Here is a 16688-nt window from a genome sequence, read left to right on the forward strand (position 1 = left end):
TCTTGTGAGATTTGGGAAGTTTTCACCTATTAATATTATTTCATTAAATAGGTTTTCTCACTCTTTCATTTTCTCTTAACCCTCTGGGATCCCAATAATTTAGATATGTAGTTGCTTTATTGTGTCCCATATGTCACAAAGGCTTTGCTCATTTTTTATTCTTTTTTATTTCTGAGTTATGTCAAAAGACCTGTGTTCTAGCTCTAAGACTTTTTTTTCTGCTTGATCTAATATATTGTTGAAGCTTTCAATTGTATTCTGTACTTTGTTTCATGAAGTCTTCTATTCCAGCATTTGCTTTTTTATGACATATATCTCTTTGATAAAATTATCATTCATTTCCCAAATTGTTTTTCTTTTTCACATTCTCTTACATCTCATTGAGCTTCCTTACACTCAATAATTTGAATTCTTTTTCTGGGATTTTGTGAGTTTATTTTTTATTGGAATCTATTGCAGGAAATTTATTGTGTTCCTTCTGAGGTGTCATATTTCCTTGCTTTTTCATGTTTGTGTCCTTATGTTGATATCTGCACATCTGGTGTAACAGTTGTTTCTTCTAATTTTTTGCATTTGCATTTGTAAGGGAGGACTTTTTCCTAGACGTATCTATGGTGTTGTTTGGGTAGGACACTTTGGCTTTGATTCTTGGTATGTGCAGTAGTGTAGTCTCTGTATGATTTCTTTGGCTATAAATAGCATCAGTGGTATCTGTGATTTCCTCAGTGGCTGAGTAGTTACTAGTGGAAGCTATGGTAAAATTTTGCTAAGGACTGGAATGCCAGGTGGGCCATTCTCCAGGCACCAGTGGTAGCAGCAGTGGACAGAGCATGCCTGTCTTTGGACCTCAGAGGAGCATACAATGGCACCAGTGTTAGTGGGTTCAAGCAGGCTGATTCTTGGGCTTTCGGGTGGCTTACTCAGATGTCAGTAGTGGCAGCAGTTCCCAGGCATGTGATCAGGTTCTCAGGCCCCTGGGCAGCTGGCGTGGCATGGGAGATGGCAGTGACAGTGTTGAAATGACCCTCTGGGTCCCAAGTGATATGTGCTTGTGTTGGCAGTGGCTGCAACAGGCTGGGCGGCCCATTCTGCAGGCCCACAAGTGGTACATACAGGTAGTAGTGGCCAAGTGGGTAAGCCCCAACCTCAGGTACCCAAGAGGAGTATTCAAGTGCCAATGGTGGTGGACTAGGCTGGACAATCCCCCAGCCCCTAGACTGTGTGCTCTGGCCACGGAGGTGGTGGTGTAAAGCCAGGCTGGGCAGTCTCATCTTCAGGCTCCCTATGATGTGTGCAGGTGCCAACCAAGGTGGGCAGGTGCAGGGCAATCCCTAGGCCACCTTCAGAATGCTTGGATAGGGAGTGGCAGTGCTGTACTACTACCTTCCATTGGAGAGCACAGGGTTGCTGGCCAGTGGGGAATGCATGTGCCACTCACACCTCACTCAGCTCCAGTGGCACTTGTGCCTCAGCCCCTGCTATGGTAGCTGGCACCATAGTTGTACCTCAGCCACAACAACAGGAGCACATGCCTTGTAGTGCTTCAGCCCCAGCTGCAGTAACCCAGTCACTTATGCCTCAGCTCTGGGGAAAACAGTCTGCAGTTCTCTTACACCTCAGCCCTGGCACTCAGGGACTCCAGGACAGTGTACAGTCTTTTGGGGGGTGGGCTTTAAATGGCATCTTGCTGTAGCTGTTTTGTTCTCAGGAAGTGTGGGGGACCCAGTGCGAGCTCCGTTCTGGAGCAGTTCCATTGAACAATCTCCTGGCACCTCCTATGTTAAGTTTCAGGGACTGCAAGGGCTGAGGAGCTCTCCCGTGGCTAGAACTGCAGAATCCTTTCATGGTGGAAATGTGGACCACTGAGGGTCTCTCACTTACCTTTTCCCCATGCTGGGGGGTCTCTCTCAGTTCCCAGCCAATCCCAGCTGAACAGGCTGCCTTGCTTCTTTTTCCTTCCTTACTTTGTTTCCTGTCTCTTTTCCGTGAATTCCAGTGTTCTGTCTTGGATAATCTATTCAAAGTGTGATTATCTACTCTCTATTTTTGTTCTTAATGGAAGAGGCGAGTACAAAATGCCTCTAGTCAGCCATTTTGGTTGGGTCTTCCTGGATTTTCTTATTTCTGTAAAAATGCGACTATGCTTTTGATAGATTTTACATTGACTCTGTAGTTTGCTTTGGGTCACGTCTACATCTTAATATCAATCCATGAACATGGGATATCTTTCTATTTATTTAGGTTATCTTTAATGTTTTTCAGCAACATTTTGTTGTTTTCAAGATACACTTCTTTGGCCTCCTTGGTTAAATGTATTCCTAAGCACTTTTTCTTTTTGATGCCCTTGTAAATGATACCATTTTTAAAATTTTCTTTTCAGATTGTTCATTGCAAGTGTATAAAAATACGACCAATTTTTTTAGACAGATAGGGTCTCACTATGTTGCCCAGGCTGGCCTCCTTGAATTCCTGCCTCAGCCTCCCAAGTAGTGGGACTACAGTTATGTCACTGTGCCCAGCTAAATACAAATGATTTTTTTTGTTTTTATATCCTGCAGCTTTGCCAAGTTCATTTATTAGCTCTTAACTATTTTTGTGTGTGTGTGGATTCAAGTTTTTTTTTTGTTGTTGTTGTTGTTTTTGTTTTTTTTTTTTGAGAAGGAGTCTCGCTCTGTCACCAGGCTGGAGTGCAGTGGCATGATCTCGGCTCACTGCAAGCTCTGCCTGCCAGGCTCAAGTGATTCTCCTGCCTCAGCCCTAACCCTGAGACTAAAGGCACATGCCACCATGCCCAGCTAATTTTGTATTTTTAGTAGAGACGGGGTTTCATCATGTTGGCCAGGGTGGTCTCGATCTCTTGACCTTGTGATCCACCTGCCTTGGCCTCTCAAAGTGCTGGGATTACAGGCGTGAGCTACCACAACTGGCCTCAAGTTTCTACATATATGATCATGTCATCTGTGAACAAAGATAATTTTACTTCTTCCTTTCGAACTTGGATCCTTTTATTTATTTTTTTTGCCTAACTGCTCTGGCTAGAACTTCCAATGCTGTTTTGAATAGATGTGGCAAAACTGGGCATCTTTATTTTATTCCTGATCTCAGGGGAAAAGTTTTCGGTCTTTCCCCATTGTTGAGTATGATGTTAATTGTGGGCTTTTCATATATGGTCTTCATCATATTGTCATATTCCTAGTTACTGAGTGTTTATTGTCATGAAAGCAAGTTGACTTGTTAGATGCTCTTTCTGCTTGAATTAGGATGATGTGTTTTATTCTCTTTATTCTTGTAATGTGGTGAATTACATTGATATTCATGTGCCAGGCAATCCTTGCATTGCAGGGATAGATCCCTCTTGCTCATGAGGTATAATCCTTTTAGTATGCTGCTGAATTTGGCTTGCTATTTTGTTGGGGATTTTTGTATCTATATTCATAAGAGATATTAGTCTGTAGATTTCTTTTCTTGTAGTGCCCTTGTCTTGCTCTGGTGTCAGGGTAATGGTGACCTCATGAGTTAAGAAGTGTTTACTCCTCTTCAATTTTTTTGGAGGAGTTTGAGGAGAACTGGTGTGTTAATTCTTCTTTCAATATTTGGAAGAATTCACCAGGGGTCCTAGACTTGTCACTGTTGGAATGTTTCTGATAACAATCTTCTTACCAGTTATTGATATATTTTGGTTTTTTATTTATTTGTCAGTTGATTTTGGGAGAGTGCGGGTTTCTAGGAATTTCATCTAGGTTACCCAATTTATTGGCACATAACTGTTAATAGTAGTCTCTTATAATATCATATTCATGTGAAAATATCTTATATTCATGTGAAAATGTAACATCCCCTCTTTCCTTTCTGATGTTAGTAATTTAAGTCTTCTCTTTCATTCTTATTTAAAGGTTTGTCAATTTTGTTTTTTCAAGAACCAACTTTTGGTTTCATTGATTCTCTATATCTGCTCTAACCTTTATTTCCTTCCTTCTGGTAACTTTGGGTTTCATTTGCTCTTTTCTAGTTCTTTAAAGTGTACATTTAGTTTACTGATTTGAGATCTTAAAAAAAGTTTTTTTAAGACATGGGGTCTTACGCTGTCACCCAGGCTGGAATGCAGTGGTGCAAGTATAGCTCACTATAACCTCAAACTCCTGGTAAACAATCCTCCCACCCCAGACACCTGAGTAGCTGGCACTACAGGAACATGCCACCACACCTGGCTTATTTTTTACTTTTTTGTAGAGACAGGATCCCACTTTGTTACCCAGGCAGGTCTCAAACTCCTGGCCTCAAGTGATCCTCCTGCCTTGGCCTCCCAAAGCACTGGGATTATAGATGCAAGCCACCATGCTCGACTGAGATTTTTTATTTTTTGAGAAGGAGTTTCGCTCTTGTTGCCCAGGCTGGAGTGCAATGGTGCGGTCTCAGTTCACTGCAACCTCTGCCTCCTGGGTTCAAATTATTCTCCTGCCTCAGCCTCCCAAGTAGCTGGGATTACAGGTGCCTGCCACCATGTCCACCTAATTTTTGTATTTTTAGTAGAGACAGGGTTTCACTATGTTGGCCAGGCTGGTCTCGAACTCCTGACCTCAGGTGATCCACCCACCTTAGCCTCCCAAAGTGTGGGGATTACAGGCATAAGCCACTGCGCCCAGCGTAAGTTCTCTTTTAATGTATGCATTTACAGCTACAGATTTACCTCTTAGGATTGCTTTCACTATGTGTCATAAGTTCTGGTATGCTGTGTTTTCATTTGTCTCAAGGTATTTTTTACTTTCCCTTATGATTTCTTTGACCCATTAGTTTTTAAATAGTGTGTTAATTTCCACCTATTTGTGTATTTCCACTTTTTTATTTTCAATGTCTAGTTTCATTCCACTGTAACTGGAATGTACTCTGTATAATCTCAGTTTTTAAAAATGTATTAACACTTGTTTCATGGCTTAACATACGGTTTATCCTGGAGAGTATTCCATGTGAATTTGAGAAGACTGTGTATTCTGCTGTTGTTGGGTGGTATTCTGCTTATGTCTATTTGGTCTAATTTGCTTAGAGTGTTGTTGAAATCCTCTATTTCCTGATTGATCTTCTGTCTGGTTTCTATATCCATTATCGGACATGGAATATTAAAGTCTCCAACTATTTTTGTCTTTCTCCCTTTAATTCTGTCATTTCTGTTTCATATGTTTTGGAGCTCTGTTAGGGGTATATATATATATAATATATATAAATAAATATATAAAAATAAATATATATTTATAATAAATATATTTTTATTTCATATATAAATATATATCTTATAAATATATATATTTATATAACATAAATATATATTTATATATATTATATATTATATATAATATATATTTATATAAATATATATATTATATATAATATATTTATATATAATATATATTTATATATTATAAATATATATTATATATTATAAATATATATTATATATTATATATTATATAAATATTATATATAATATATATTATATATAATATATATAAAAATATATATATTTATATATATAAATATTTTATCAATATAATATCCTTGTCTCTTGTAACCTTTCTTGATTTAACATTTATTTTGTGTGCCTTTTTCAAAAGAGGACACTGGAGGTGAAGAAGGAAGCTCTTGACTCTCCTAAAGCTGATCCCAAAGTGAAGGCTTTGAAGGCCAAGAAGGCAGTGCTGAAAGGCATCCACACAGCCACCAAGAAAAAAAAAAAAAAGATTCACACATCACCCACCTTCCTGTGGCCCAAGACATTATGACTCTGAAGACAGCCTCAATATCCTCAGAAGAGCACTACCAGGAGAAATAAGCTTGACCACTATGCCATCATCAAGTTCCCAATAACCAGTGACCACTGAGTCTGATGTGAATTAGATAGAAGACAACAATACACCTGTGTTCACTGTGGATGTTAAAAGCCAAAAAGTACCAGGTCAGGCTGTGAAGCAGCTCTATGACACTGATGTGGTCAAAGTCAACACATTGATCAGGGCTGATGGAGAGAAGAAGGCGTATGTTCAACTGGCTCCTGATTACAATGCTTCTGAGGTTGCCAACAAAACTGGGATCATCTTGGCTGAGTCTTGCTGGCTAATTCTAAATTATATATATATAACATGTTATACATATATTTTATATATAATTGTATATATTTAAAATACATATATATTTTATATATAATTGTATATATTTAAAATACATATATATTTTATATATAATTGTATATATTTAAAATACATATATATTTTATATATAATTGTATATATTTAAAATATATATTTTATATATAATTGTATATATTTTAAATATATTTTATATATAATTGTATATATTTAAAATATATATATTTTTTTTCTCCAGAAAAAACAGATTATTTTGTCTGGTGATAATATAGCCACCTCAGCTGTCATATGGTTACTATTTTCTAGGTGTATCTTTTTCTATCCTTTTACTTTCAACCTCCTTGTGTCCTTATATCTAACATGAGTCTCTTAAGACAGCATATAAACACTATTTGTTTAACTCCAATCTGCCAATCTTTGTTTTTAATAGAAGAGCTTAATCCCTTTACATTTAATGTGATTACAGATCAAGGATTTACTTCTGCCATTTGGCTATTTGTTTTTAATATGTCTTATATGTTTTTGATTCCTCAATTCCATTACTACCTCCTTTTGTATTTATTTGATTGTTCACAATGTACTGTTTTGATTCTGTTTTTACAATGCACTAATTTGTTAGTTTTACTATTTAGACAGATTACATCTTACATTCTATGCCCATTAATATAGATTTATAATTTTTTAATGAATTTGTCTTTTAAATTATAAAGCACAAAGAGAAAAAGTTATAAACCAAAAGTACAATAGTACTGGCTCTTATATTTACCTCTAAAGTTATCTTAACTAGTGCTCTTTTTTTTTTTTTTTTTTTTTGTGATGGAGTCTTGCTCTGCCCCACCCAGGCTGGAGTACAGTGGTGCGATCTCGGCTCACTGCAAGCTCTGCCTCCCAGGTTCAAGCGATTCTCCTGCCTCAGCCTCCCAAGTAGCTGGGATTAGCACCACCAGGCCCAGCTAAGTTTTGTATTTTTTGTAGAGATGGGTTTTCACCATGTTGGCCAGGCTGGTCTCAAACTCCTGACCTCGTGATCCACCCGCCTCGGCCTCCCAAAGTGCTGGGATTACAGGTGTGAGCCACGGCACCTGGCCTATTTTTTCTTATGGCTTCAAGTTTCTGTTCAGTATCCTTTCATTTCAGCATGAAGGACTCCCTTTAGCATTTCTGGTAGGGCATGTCTACTAATAATGATCTCCTTCAATTTTATTTGGAAATGTCTGGATTTCTCTTTCATTTTTGAAGAATAGTTTTGCCATATACAGAAATCTTGGTTTAGAGGTTTTTTTTTTTTCTTTTTTTCACGACTTTAGATATGTCATCTCACTGCCTTTGGGCTTCCAAGATTTTTGATGAGGAATCGGCTGTTAATCTTGTCAAAAATTCTGTGTGACGAGTTGCTTCTCTCTTGCTGCTTTCAAAATCCTGTCTTCAGGTTTTGACAATCCTAATATAACATGTCTTGGTGTGGATCTGAGTTCATCCTGCTTGGATTTTATTGAGCTTTTTGGATGTGTAGATTCATGTCTTTCATCAGATTTGGGAAATTTTCTATCATTATTTCTTTAAATATTCTTTCTGTCCCTTTTCTTTTTCTGCGATTCCTATATGAGTATATGAGTATGAATATACTAATGAATATAATAACTATATGAATATATGAGTACATTAGTATGCTTGATGATGTCTCACAGCTCTCTCAGGTTTTTTTTCCTAAATATTTTTTTTCTTTCTTCTCCTTTGGATAATTTCAATTATTTTCTCTTCAAATTCACTGTTCTCTTCTTTTGCATGCCCAAATCTTTGTTGAATCCCTCTAGTGGGTTTTCCATTTCAGGGATTATACTTTTTAGCTCTAGAATTTGTTTGGTTCCTTTTTATAATTTCTATCTCTTTATTGATATTCTCATTTTGTTCATGCATGGTTTTCCTGATTTCCTTTAGTTCTTCGTCCATGTTTTCCTTTAGCTCGCTGAACATACTTAAGATAGTTGATTTAATGTCTTTGGGTAATAATTCCAATGTCTGGACTTCCTCAAGGATGGTGCCTGTCAATTTTTTTTCCTGTGAATGGACCATGGTTTTCTATTTCTTTTTATGTTTTGTAATTTTTTGTTGAGAACTGGACATTATGAGTATTACATTGTGGTAACTGAGAATCTAATTCTGTCATGCCTCAGAGATTGCTGATTTTTGCTTATTGAGGGCTGGAGCCAACTATTTGTGACTTTTCCAACTATTTTTGTGAAGTGTGTATTCTTTGCAGTATGGGGTCAGTGAAGTTTCTGTTGTGATATCTCTGTGGTTAACCAGTGACCTAAGATTTCCTTAAATATCTGGCTTGCCAAAAGGAGGAATAAAGAAAAAAAAAAATAGGTACTGTCTCTTTAAATCCCCTTGTGGCTAGAAAGCTCCCTCTGCCCAAGGGCATTGAGACAATGATCAGCCTCTGCACTGGCCCCCTCAGTGATTAAATGCAGTAATCAGAAATCAAAAAACTCTTTTTTTTTTTTTTTTGCAATGGAGCCTCACTCTGTTGCCCAGGCTGGAACGCAGTGGTGTCATCTTGGCTCACTGCAACTTCTGCCTCCCAGGTTCAAGTGATTCTCCTGCCTCAGCCTCCCAAATAGCTGGGATTACAGGCACTCACCAACATGCCTGGCTAATTTTTGTATTTTTAATAGAGACAGGGTTTTACCATGTTGGCCAGGCTGGCCTCAAACTCCTGACCTCAAGTGATCCACACCTCAGCCTCCCAAAGTGCTGGGATTACAGGTGTGAGCCACCACACCTGGCCACAAAAACTTGACTTTTGGAGGACAAAGTTGTTATTGCCTACCCTGGCACCAACAGTCTGCACCAGGAACATTTTCCACAGTTGCCTGCTGCAGAGCTTGCGGATGCTGAAACAAAAAAAAACCATCAAAATTTGTAAGCCTCTCCATCAAGCTCTTCCCTGGATGTTGCAAGTGTTCAACTAGACTTCTGAGTCCCAAAACAGTTGCTTGAGACAATTACTGCCAGCTCAACTGCTTTGGTGGAGGAAAAGATTCCTGGTGCTGCTACTGCCATCTTCCATAACATCATTCTCCATGTCAGCTTTCGTAATCAACTTGTTCAAACATCCTCATCTCTCTTGAGCATGACACCCTGGCCTACTGGTATATTACAAGAAGCACAGAGCTGGGTATAATATAAGGACCAACTTACAAACTTGGACAAAGACTTGTAGGAGAGACTACCTGCTCTGCATTATAAAAAAGTTAAACTAGCCATAAAAACCTGTTGTTCTGACTCCAGGGTGTGCCATCAGCTACTTTATAAAGCAGGCTGTGAGCTGTGGGCCCCAAAGGAGGGGAGTGTTTTGTTGTTGCCGTATTGAAAACATGGCTGGAGTTGGAGGAGGCTGTAAGGGAGCCAGTGGCCCTTGTACTCCTACCCTAAGTGCTGACCAGGGCTTTGGGCTCCACCAGGTGTTTGCTCTCACTGTGGGCTTTGTGGAACTGGATTTTGCCTTAGTATGTTAATATGAGAAGAACAGGCTTTCTGCAAATGCTAAACAGATGGATGACATGGTACTCCCCGCCCCCAACCCACCAAATTATGGGCCAAAAAGGAAGTCTCTTTTTCCTTAATTCAGTAAAGAAACAATAGCATAACTATGTTTCAAACTGTTGTGTTCAAATGAATTTAAAATATTCAGAGAAAGAAAAAGAATTTTGTCCTTTTTAAGACATCCTAAGTAGAAAGCAACTGGGGTGGAGGAGCTGGGATTTGCCAGGCCAAAATAAACAAACAACAATGGTTGGCTATTGTATGGAAACAATGCAACACCATCCAGGAAATTCTGTGGGATTTCTGAGGGATAGGCCACTATGGTTGGCCCTGGGGATGAGGTACCAAACACAAGGCCCCACACTGAGGCAGCTCATGCCAAAGTCACCACGGAACCATCACATTGCCCAACACCACAAATAGTGTCTCCTGTACCCCCTCCCACATTGCCAACTCAGCTAGCAATGCTGCCATTTTGGAACCCCCAATCCCTTCAGCTTCTACAATACTCCGCCCTCCTGGCTCTCACCTGAGCTTCTGGCTGCCCTCTGATGGGGTCTCTAATGAGAACACAAATGTCAAAGGGTAAGGAGGGAAGGGAGAGGCTGGGAACTCAGTGACCAGGAACCTAGAAAATCAACACGTAATAACATGACTTGTCTGTGGCTTCAAAACTATGTCTTAAATAAAAATAATCTTCTATGATACATTTTGCTTTCGAGTACAATCCAGAGAAACTGAGGAACAAAATTCAAGCTTTTGATTCCATGTATGTCAAAGAAGGAAGGTGATTTTCCATTATACTAAACATTTCTTCTACATCAGGCATAACCAGAGAAACACAAGACTTTCATCATCAGAAAAAAGCACATTATGTATCTAAGGACAATTAAAGGCTCTCTTTCCTTTTCATCAATTTGAGCTGAATTTCAACTCATGTCCTGTTGCTGTCTCCTACCCAGTGGCTGTGGATCTGCCCGACTCAGAGGATGTTTTGACCTGTTCTCCTATTGCTAAGAAATGGCTAGAAAAGCTTGGACCCCTTTAGGGTCACCATGTTCCTTCCCCTGCGCAGGTTTTTAAAAACACATGAAACAAAAAACAGCTCTCAACCGTTTATCATATTATATTCCTATGGCTTCTGCTGCTAGTTGTCCTCTGAAGCAGCCAGGCGGTTAATGCTGCTGCCAGGCAGCCTTAGAGACAGCAGATGCCCCTGTGCAGTAAATTCAGTGCCCAACCATAAGTGCCTCCTCCCCTTACCCACACAGGATAGCCATGGCCCCTGTGGACTCCTTACCGAGCTGACGTCCAGCCTGGGGACTCGATGTGTCAAAGGGCTCTGAGCTGGCCTCAGGGACACGGGGCTCCCACGACTCACTGTTCTCAGACACCTCTGAATAGGTGTCACCCATCCCTTTGTGAACTGCTGTGAGCTCACCAGTACCAGGGCCCTGGTCCTCACTGCCTGTGTCTGCCACGGCTCTGGTCTCCTCCCCCATTTTCTCAGCAAACCACTGCTTGACCTGCTGGGAGCTCATCTGGGTCTTGTCACAGAGGTTCTGCAGGTCCTCTTCATACAGCATCTTGTGTGTCATGTAATAGTCCTGCAGGAGCTCCCGGTTGCCAGGGGCAATGACCAGTAGCCCTGGTGGGAAGTTGCCTCGCTTATAGTCTTCGTACCATTTGAGTTGGCCGTTCTTCAGTGCGTACCTGCTATCTCCAAACCAGCGCACCACCTCTGGCCGTGGCAGACCCGTCTGGGCCATGATGGAGTCATAGTCCTGGTTGCTTGGCCACTGTGTCTGGACAAAGAGCTGCCGCAGCAAGTGCCGCTGCTGGGCAGTCTTTTTGCAGCTCACTTTGCCTGGGAGCTGCTCTGCCAGTTTGTTTGACTCATCATCCTCAGGGTCACAGGCACCCAGCCCTGGAATCTCGTTCCTGCCATTGGCTTCAGTGACCCTCAGGTTCTTCAGGTTGATTTTAATGGGGCTGACTTTGCGCTCTGCCAAGATATGGCTGCTGGGCATTTCCAGAGAGCCATTTTCACCAGAGACCCTTAGCTCACTGGCCAAATCCTCTTCTCCACCCTCATCCTCAGCAGCCTCCTCTTCCTCCTGAGAGGCATTCTCCTCAGCCTTCTTGGTCTCCTCAGCATTCACTTTTTTCCGTCTCTCTGAAAACCAGCTATCAATTTCTCGTCGGGTCATTTTGGTTTCACTTCTCAGGCGGTCCAGTTCCTCATCAAGAGGAAGAGGGTTTTGTGCAAAACTGCTCTCCAGGGCTCTGAGCTGCTCAGGGGCTCTCTCCTTGTATTTGGTTGGTGTGAAGTCAGGAGTCTGGTGCCAAGATTGTCGTTTGGCAGAAGGGTGGGTTGCTAGTGTGGCTGTTGTCGGAATGCAGGTTACCTCAGGGACCTTGGACGATGGGGAGAAGGACACCTCTGGCACAGAGTCAATGATGATGGAACTGTGATCTCCAGGTATCATCGCTCTGGAGCCCTTCAAGTTCCGGCAGTGGTATCTACGATCACTGAACCATTTCCGCACCTCTCTGGTACTGAGGCCCGTCACTTTTGTGAGATGTTCAACTTCGCTCTGCCCTGGGAACTGGTTCCGACAGAAGCTCCCTTTCAGAGCTGACAGCTGTTCATGAGATTTCTTATTTTTGTAGATGCTAGCATCAAGGAAGGCTTGGGAGGTTATGCTGGGGCAGGCCGTGAGGAGCGACTGGGCCGCATTGACCACCTTCACAGCTGACGTTGTATTTGAACACACAGTGTTAATGGGTGCCACACCTGGCTGCTTGGGGACGGATGTCACCGTGAGGGGGAGAGGGGAACTTGTTGCTTGCAACCCATTGGCCATCAATGGCTGAGTGACCAGAAGTCCCCCTCCTGTACCCTCTGGCTGCCCCACAACGTGACCTGGAAGAGCGGCCTGGATGAGATGCTGGACATTGCCAGCACTGGCGACGAGTGGGGTATTTAGAACCGTAATTGTGGGCTGAGGCACAGACTGGATGACTGTATTGAACATCTTTTTCCGGGCATCCTCAATCTCCTCAGGGGACCAGCTGATCCCCTGCTTCAGCCTTTGGGCTGTGAACCAGATCTTGAGCTGTTCTTCTGGATACTTGGTCACCACAGTCAAATAGCAGAGCTCGGCTTTGGTGGGGTAGGGGAACTTGTGGAAGGAGTTCTTCAGGAAGCTGTTAGAGTCCATGGCTGCATTGTACGTTGGAATGCTGCTCAGGGGGATCATCACTTTGGGAAGGGCCTTGGCCGTGGGCAGTGGCTGGTGGACATGGTGTTGGGCATGCACTGGGGGCTGCTGCTGGAGGGAGAGGAACTGTGCTATGCCAGCTGGCAAAACTGGCACTGTTCCTATCAGGGGCCCGTTGGCGGCATGGGGGTTTTTTGCAGAGCTGGCAGATGCCTGGCTGACTGGAACTGCCCCATTGATGAAGGAATGGTCCCCCTCTCTCACCTCCATTTCTCCAGTCGACAGCTTTGGTAAGGCCTCACCCACAGGCTGGCTAGGGACATTCTCCTTGAGTGTATGAATTTTTTTGGCTTCAGCTTTGCCTTTCATTATCTTCATGATTGGAGTTTTGGTAATGATGATTTCTGCCTGTCCATCAGCCCCTTCAGCACTGGGCTCACCCGCTAGGTCAGGAGTGCTGGTGCTCTCAGGGATGCTCTGCTCCACAACCACATGATTGTCTGGCTTGGCCACGTTCCACACAAAGCTGGCTTCCCCGGAGTGACATGTGGCATTGTGCAAGGAAAGCCCCTCAGGGGTTTTTGCCAGAAAACTGCACCCACTGCATACAAAGGTTGGGTCTTTATTAAAGTCTGTGTGCTCTGAGTTCATATGTCCCACAAATTGGGTCATGTCATGGGATCTGAAATCGCAGTATTTACAGGAATATAAATAGCCATCTAAAGTGCTCCGATGCCCATTGGCCAGTGTAGAGCCATCAGTACTGCTGGGGTTCTGTGCTGCCTCACTGCTGGCAGCAGATGCTTCTGGGGGCAGATCCTGCTGGGGTCCTTCAGGCAAGGTCTCAGCGGGCTGGGCCTCCATGCTGGCATCTTGCAACACCACAGTCTTCACTGGGATCATGCATGGTGTGGTGGATTTCCTCTTGCTGGCCATGGTGACAATCACTGGGTGATCAGCAGTTGAGAGCTTGTCCCATAAGGGGCCTAACAATACAAGTTCCAGCTTCTCGATGAGGGCCAAAGAAACAGTTTCTAAATGCAGCTTTTTCAGTTGTTTGCAGAAAGCAGGTTTTCCCTATTCAATCTAAGGAAAGGGAGAAAAAAATGATTAAGTTCTCTTAAGTGCTTTCTGTATATTTCTCGGATACCCAGACACATTCCACTGCTTGCCTTCTACCATCTAGGTCTTTTCACAGTAAGTTTAATCAGCAACTTGGATATGAAGTCTAAGTTAGGAACCCCCTAATGACAAAAACTGGACCCTGAAGAATGACCTGGGGATGGTCCAATACCAACTGATAGACTTAAGCAACGTATTTTTGTTTCTTCCCCACCACCCCCTACATATCCCTGCATTAAGTAATTCAGATTAAAAAACAAAACGCCCTCTTTTTGGACCTCCAAATTAATTCTGACCATGTCAGAGTGAGAACAAAAGATCCTAGTGTAATTCTTGTTTACATTTTGGACCAACACGCGGTTTTCTTTTCATAGCCTTCCCGCATATGAGAACAAGATGACGCCTCTGTCTGTCCCAAGCCAGGCCCAGGGACCAAGTTAGCTGCAGTGTGTGAACGGAAGGGGTGGGGTGGGCGGGGGTGGCTAGGAAGACCGGCTGCTGTAAGAGCCAGGCCTCTGTAGCCTTTCCTTGCCTGCCGCACTTATTCCAGGCCACAGAAAAGCGATCACCTTACAGTTACTGGCTGTTATGTATCCCGGACCACTGTTACTGAGATGAAACCAAAGGTCAGAGGGTCAGGGAATCCACAGAACCAGTTTGTGGCCCAGCAAGCTATACATTTTCTGTGTACGACCACTCAAAGGGTGGTCTCACCTTGAGATCTGAGAACAGTTGGACTGCCTCCCCAAGTGGGTCCCTGACCCCTGAGTAGCCTAACTGGGAGGCACCTCCCAGTAGGGGCCGACTGACACCTCATACAGCTGGGTGCCCCTCTGAGATGAAGCTTCCAGAGGGAGGATCAGACAGCAACATCTGCCGTTCTGCAGTATTTGCTGTTCTGCAGCCTCCATTGGTGATACCCAGGCAAACAGGGTCTGGAGTGGACCTCCAGAAAACTCCAACAGACCTGCATCTGAGGGTCCTGACTGTTAGAAGGAAAACTAACAAACAGAAAGGACATCCACACCAAAACCCCATCTGGACGCCACCATCATCAAAGACCAAAGGTAGATAAAACCACAAAGATGGGGAGAAACCAGAGCAGAAAAGCTGAAAATTCTAAAAATCAGAGTGCCTCTTCTCCTCCAAAGGAACGCAGCTCCTCACCTGCAATGGAATAAAGCTGGATGGAGAATGGCTTTGATGAGTTGAGAGAAGAGGGCTTCAGACGATCAGTAATAACAAACTTCTCTGAGCTAAAGGAGGATGCTCGAAGCCATCACAAAGAAGCTAAAAACCTTGAAAAAAGATTAGATGAATAGCTAACTAGAATGAACAGTGTAGAGAAGACCTTAAATGACCTGATAGAGCTGAAAACCATGGCATGAGAACTACATGACGCATGCACAAGCTTCAGTAGCCGATTTGATCAAGTGGAAGAAAGAGTATCAGTGATTGAAGATCAAATTAATGAAATGAAGCGAGAAGTTTAGAGAGAAAAGAGAAAAAAGAAACGAACAAAGCCTCCAAGAAATATGGGACTATGTGAAAAGAACAAATCTACGTCTGATTGGTGTACCTGAAAATGACAGGGAGAATGGAACCAAGTTGGAAAACACTCTTCAGGATATTATCCAGGAGAACTTCCCCAACCTAGCAAGGCAGGCCAACATTAAAATTCAGAAATACAGAGAACAACATAAAGATACTCCTCGAGAAGAGCAACTCCAAAACACATTAATTGTCAGATTCACCAAAGTTGAAATGAAGGAAAAAATGTTAAGGGCAGCCAGAGAGAAAGGTCGGGTTACCCACAAAGGGAAGCCCATCAGAATAACAGCGGATCTCTCGGCAGAAACTCTACAAGCCAGAAGAGAAGTGGGGGCCGATATTCAACATTCTTAAAGAAAAGAACTTTCAATCCAGAATTTCATATCCAGCCAAACTAAGCTTCATAAGTGAAGGAGAAATAAAATCCTTTACAGACAAACAAATGCTGAGAGATTTTGTCACCACCAGGCCTGCCTTACAAGAGCTCCTGAAGGAAGCACTAAACATGGAAAGGAACAACTGGTACCAGCCACTGCAAAAAACATGCCAAATTGTAAAGACCATCAATGCTAGAAAGAAACTGCATCAACTAACGAGCAAAATAACCAGCTAACATCATAATGACAGGATCAAATTCACACATAACAATATTAACCTTAAATGTAAATGGGCTAAATGCACCAAGCAGACCTAACTGACATCTACAGAACTCTCCACCCCAAATGAACAGAATATACATTTGTCTCAGCACCACAGCACACTTACTCCAAAATTGACCACATAGTTGGAAGTAAAGCACTCCTCAGCAAATGTAAAAGAACAGAAATTATAATAAACTGTCTCTCAGACCACAGTGCAATCAAACTAGAACTCAGGATTAAGAAACTCACTCAAAACCGCTCAACTACATGGAAACTGAACATCCTGCTCCTGAATGACTACTGGGTACATAACGAAATGAAGGCACAAAGAAAGATGTTCTTTGAAACCAATGAGAACAAAGACACAACATACCAGAATCTCTGGGACACATTTAAAGCAGTGTGTAGAGGGAAATTTATAGCACTAAATGCCCACAAGAGAAAGCAGGAAATATCTAAAATTG

At 42.3% G+C, this 16688-nt stretch overlaps 1 protein-coding gene and 1 pseudogene across 25 annotated transcripts in view; one reads left to right on the top strand and one right to left on the bottom strand.

Moving 5' to 3' along the window:
- Window positions 1–16688, bottom strand: part of ZHX3 (zinc fingers and homeoboxes 3) — a 139277-nt gene that overhangs the window by 12616 nt on the left and 109973 nt on the right. For 12 of the 25 annotated variants that reach the window (NM_001384317.1, NM_001384316.1, NM_001384319.1 and 9 more), the window contains one exon: window positions 10987–13996. In NM_001384317.1, coding sequence (NP_001371246.1) covers window positions 10987–13846 — 2860 coding nt within the window. In that variant the 5' untranslated portion in view covers window positions 13847–13996. Of the gene's footprint in view, window positions 1–10215; window positions 10315–10986; window positions 13997–16688 lie in introns of all 25 variants that reach the window. The other 13 variants (NM_001384325.1, XM_047440036.1, XM_047440037.1 and 10 more) reach the window with 2 other exon arrangements.
- On the top strand, window positions 5616–6087 carry RPL23AP81 (ribosomal protein L23a pseudogene 81; annotated as a pseudogene).

The sequence above is a fragment of the Homo sapiens genome, chromosome 20, assembly GCF_000001405.40.
Source record: "Homo sapiens chromosome 20, GRCh38.p14 Primary Assembly".
NCBI lineage: Eukaryota > Metazoa > Chordata > Mammalia > Primates > Hominidae > Homo > Homo sapiens.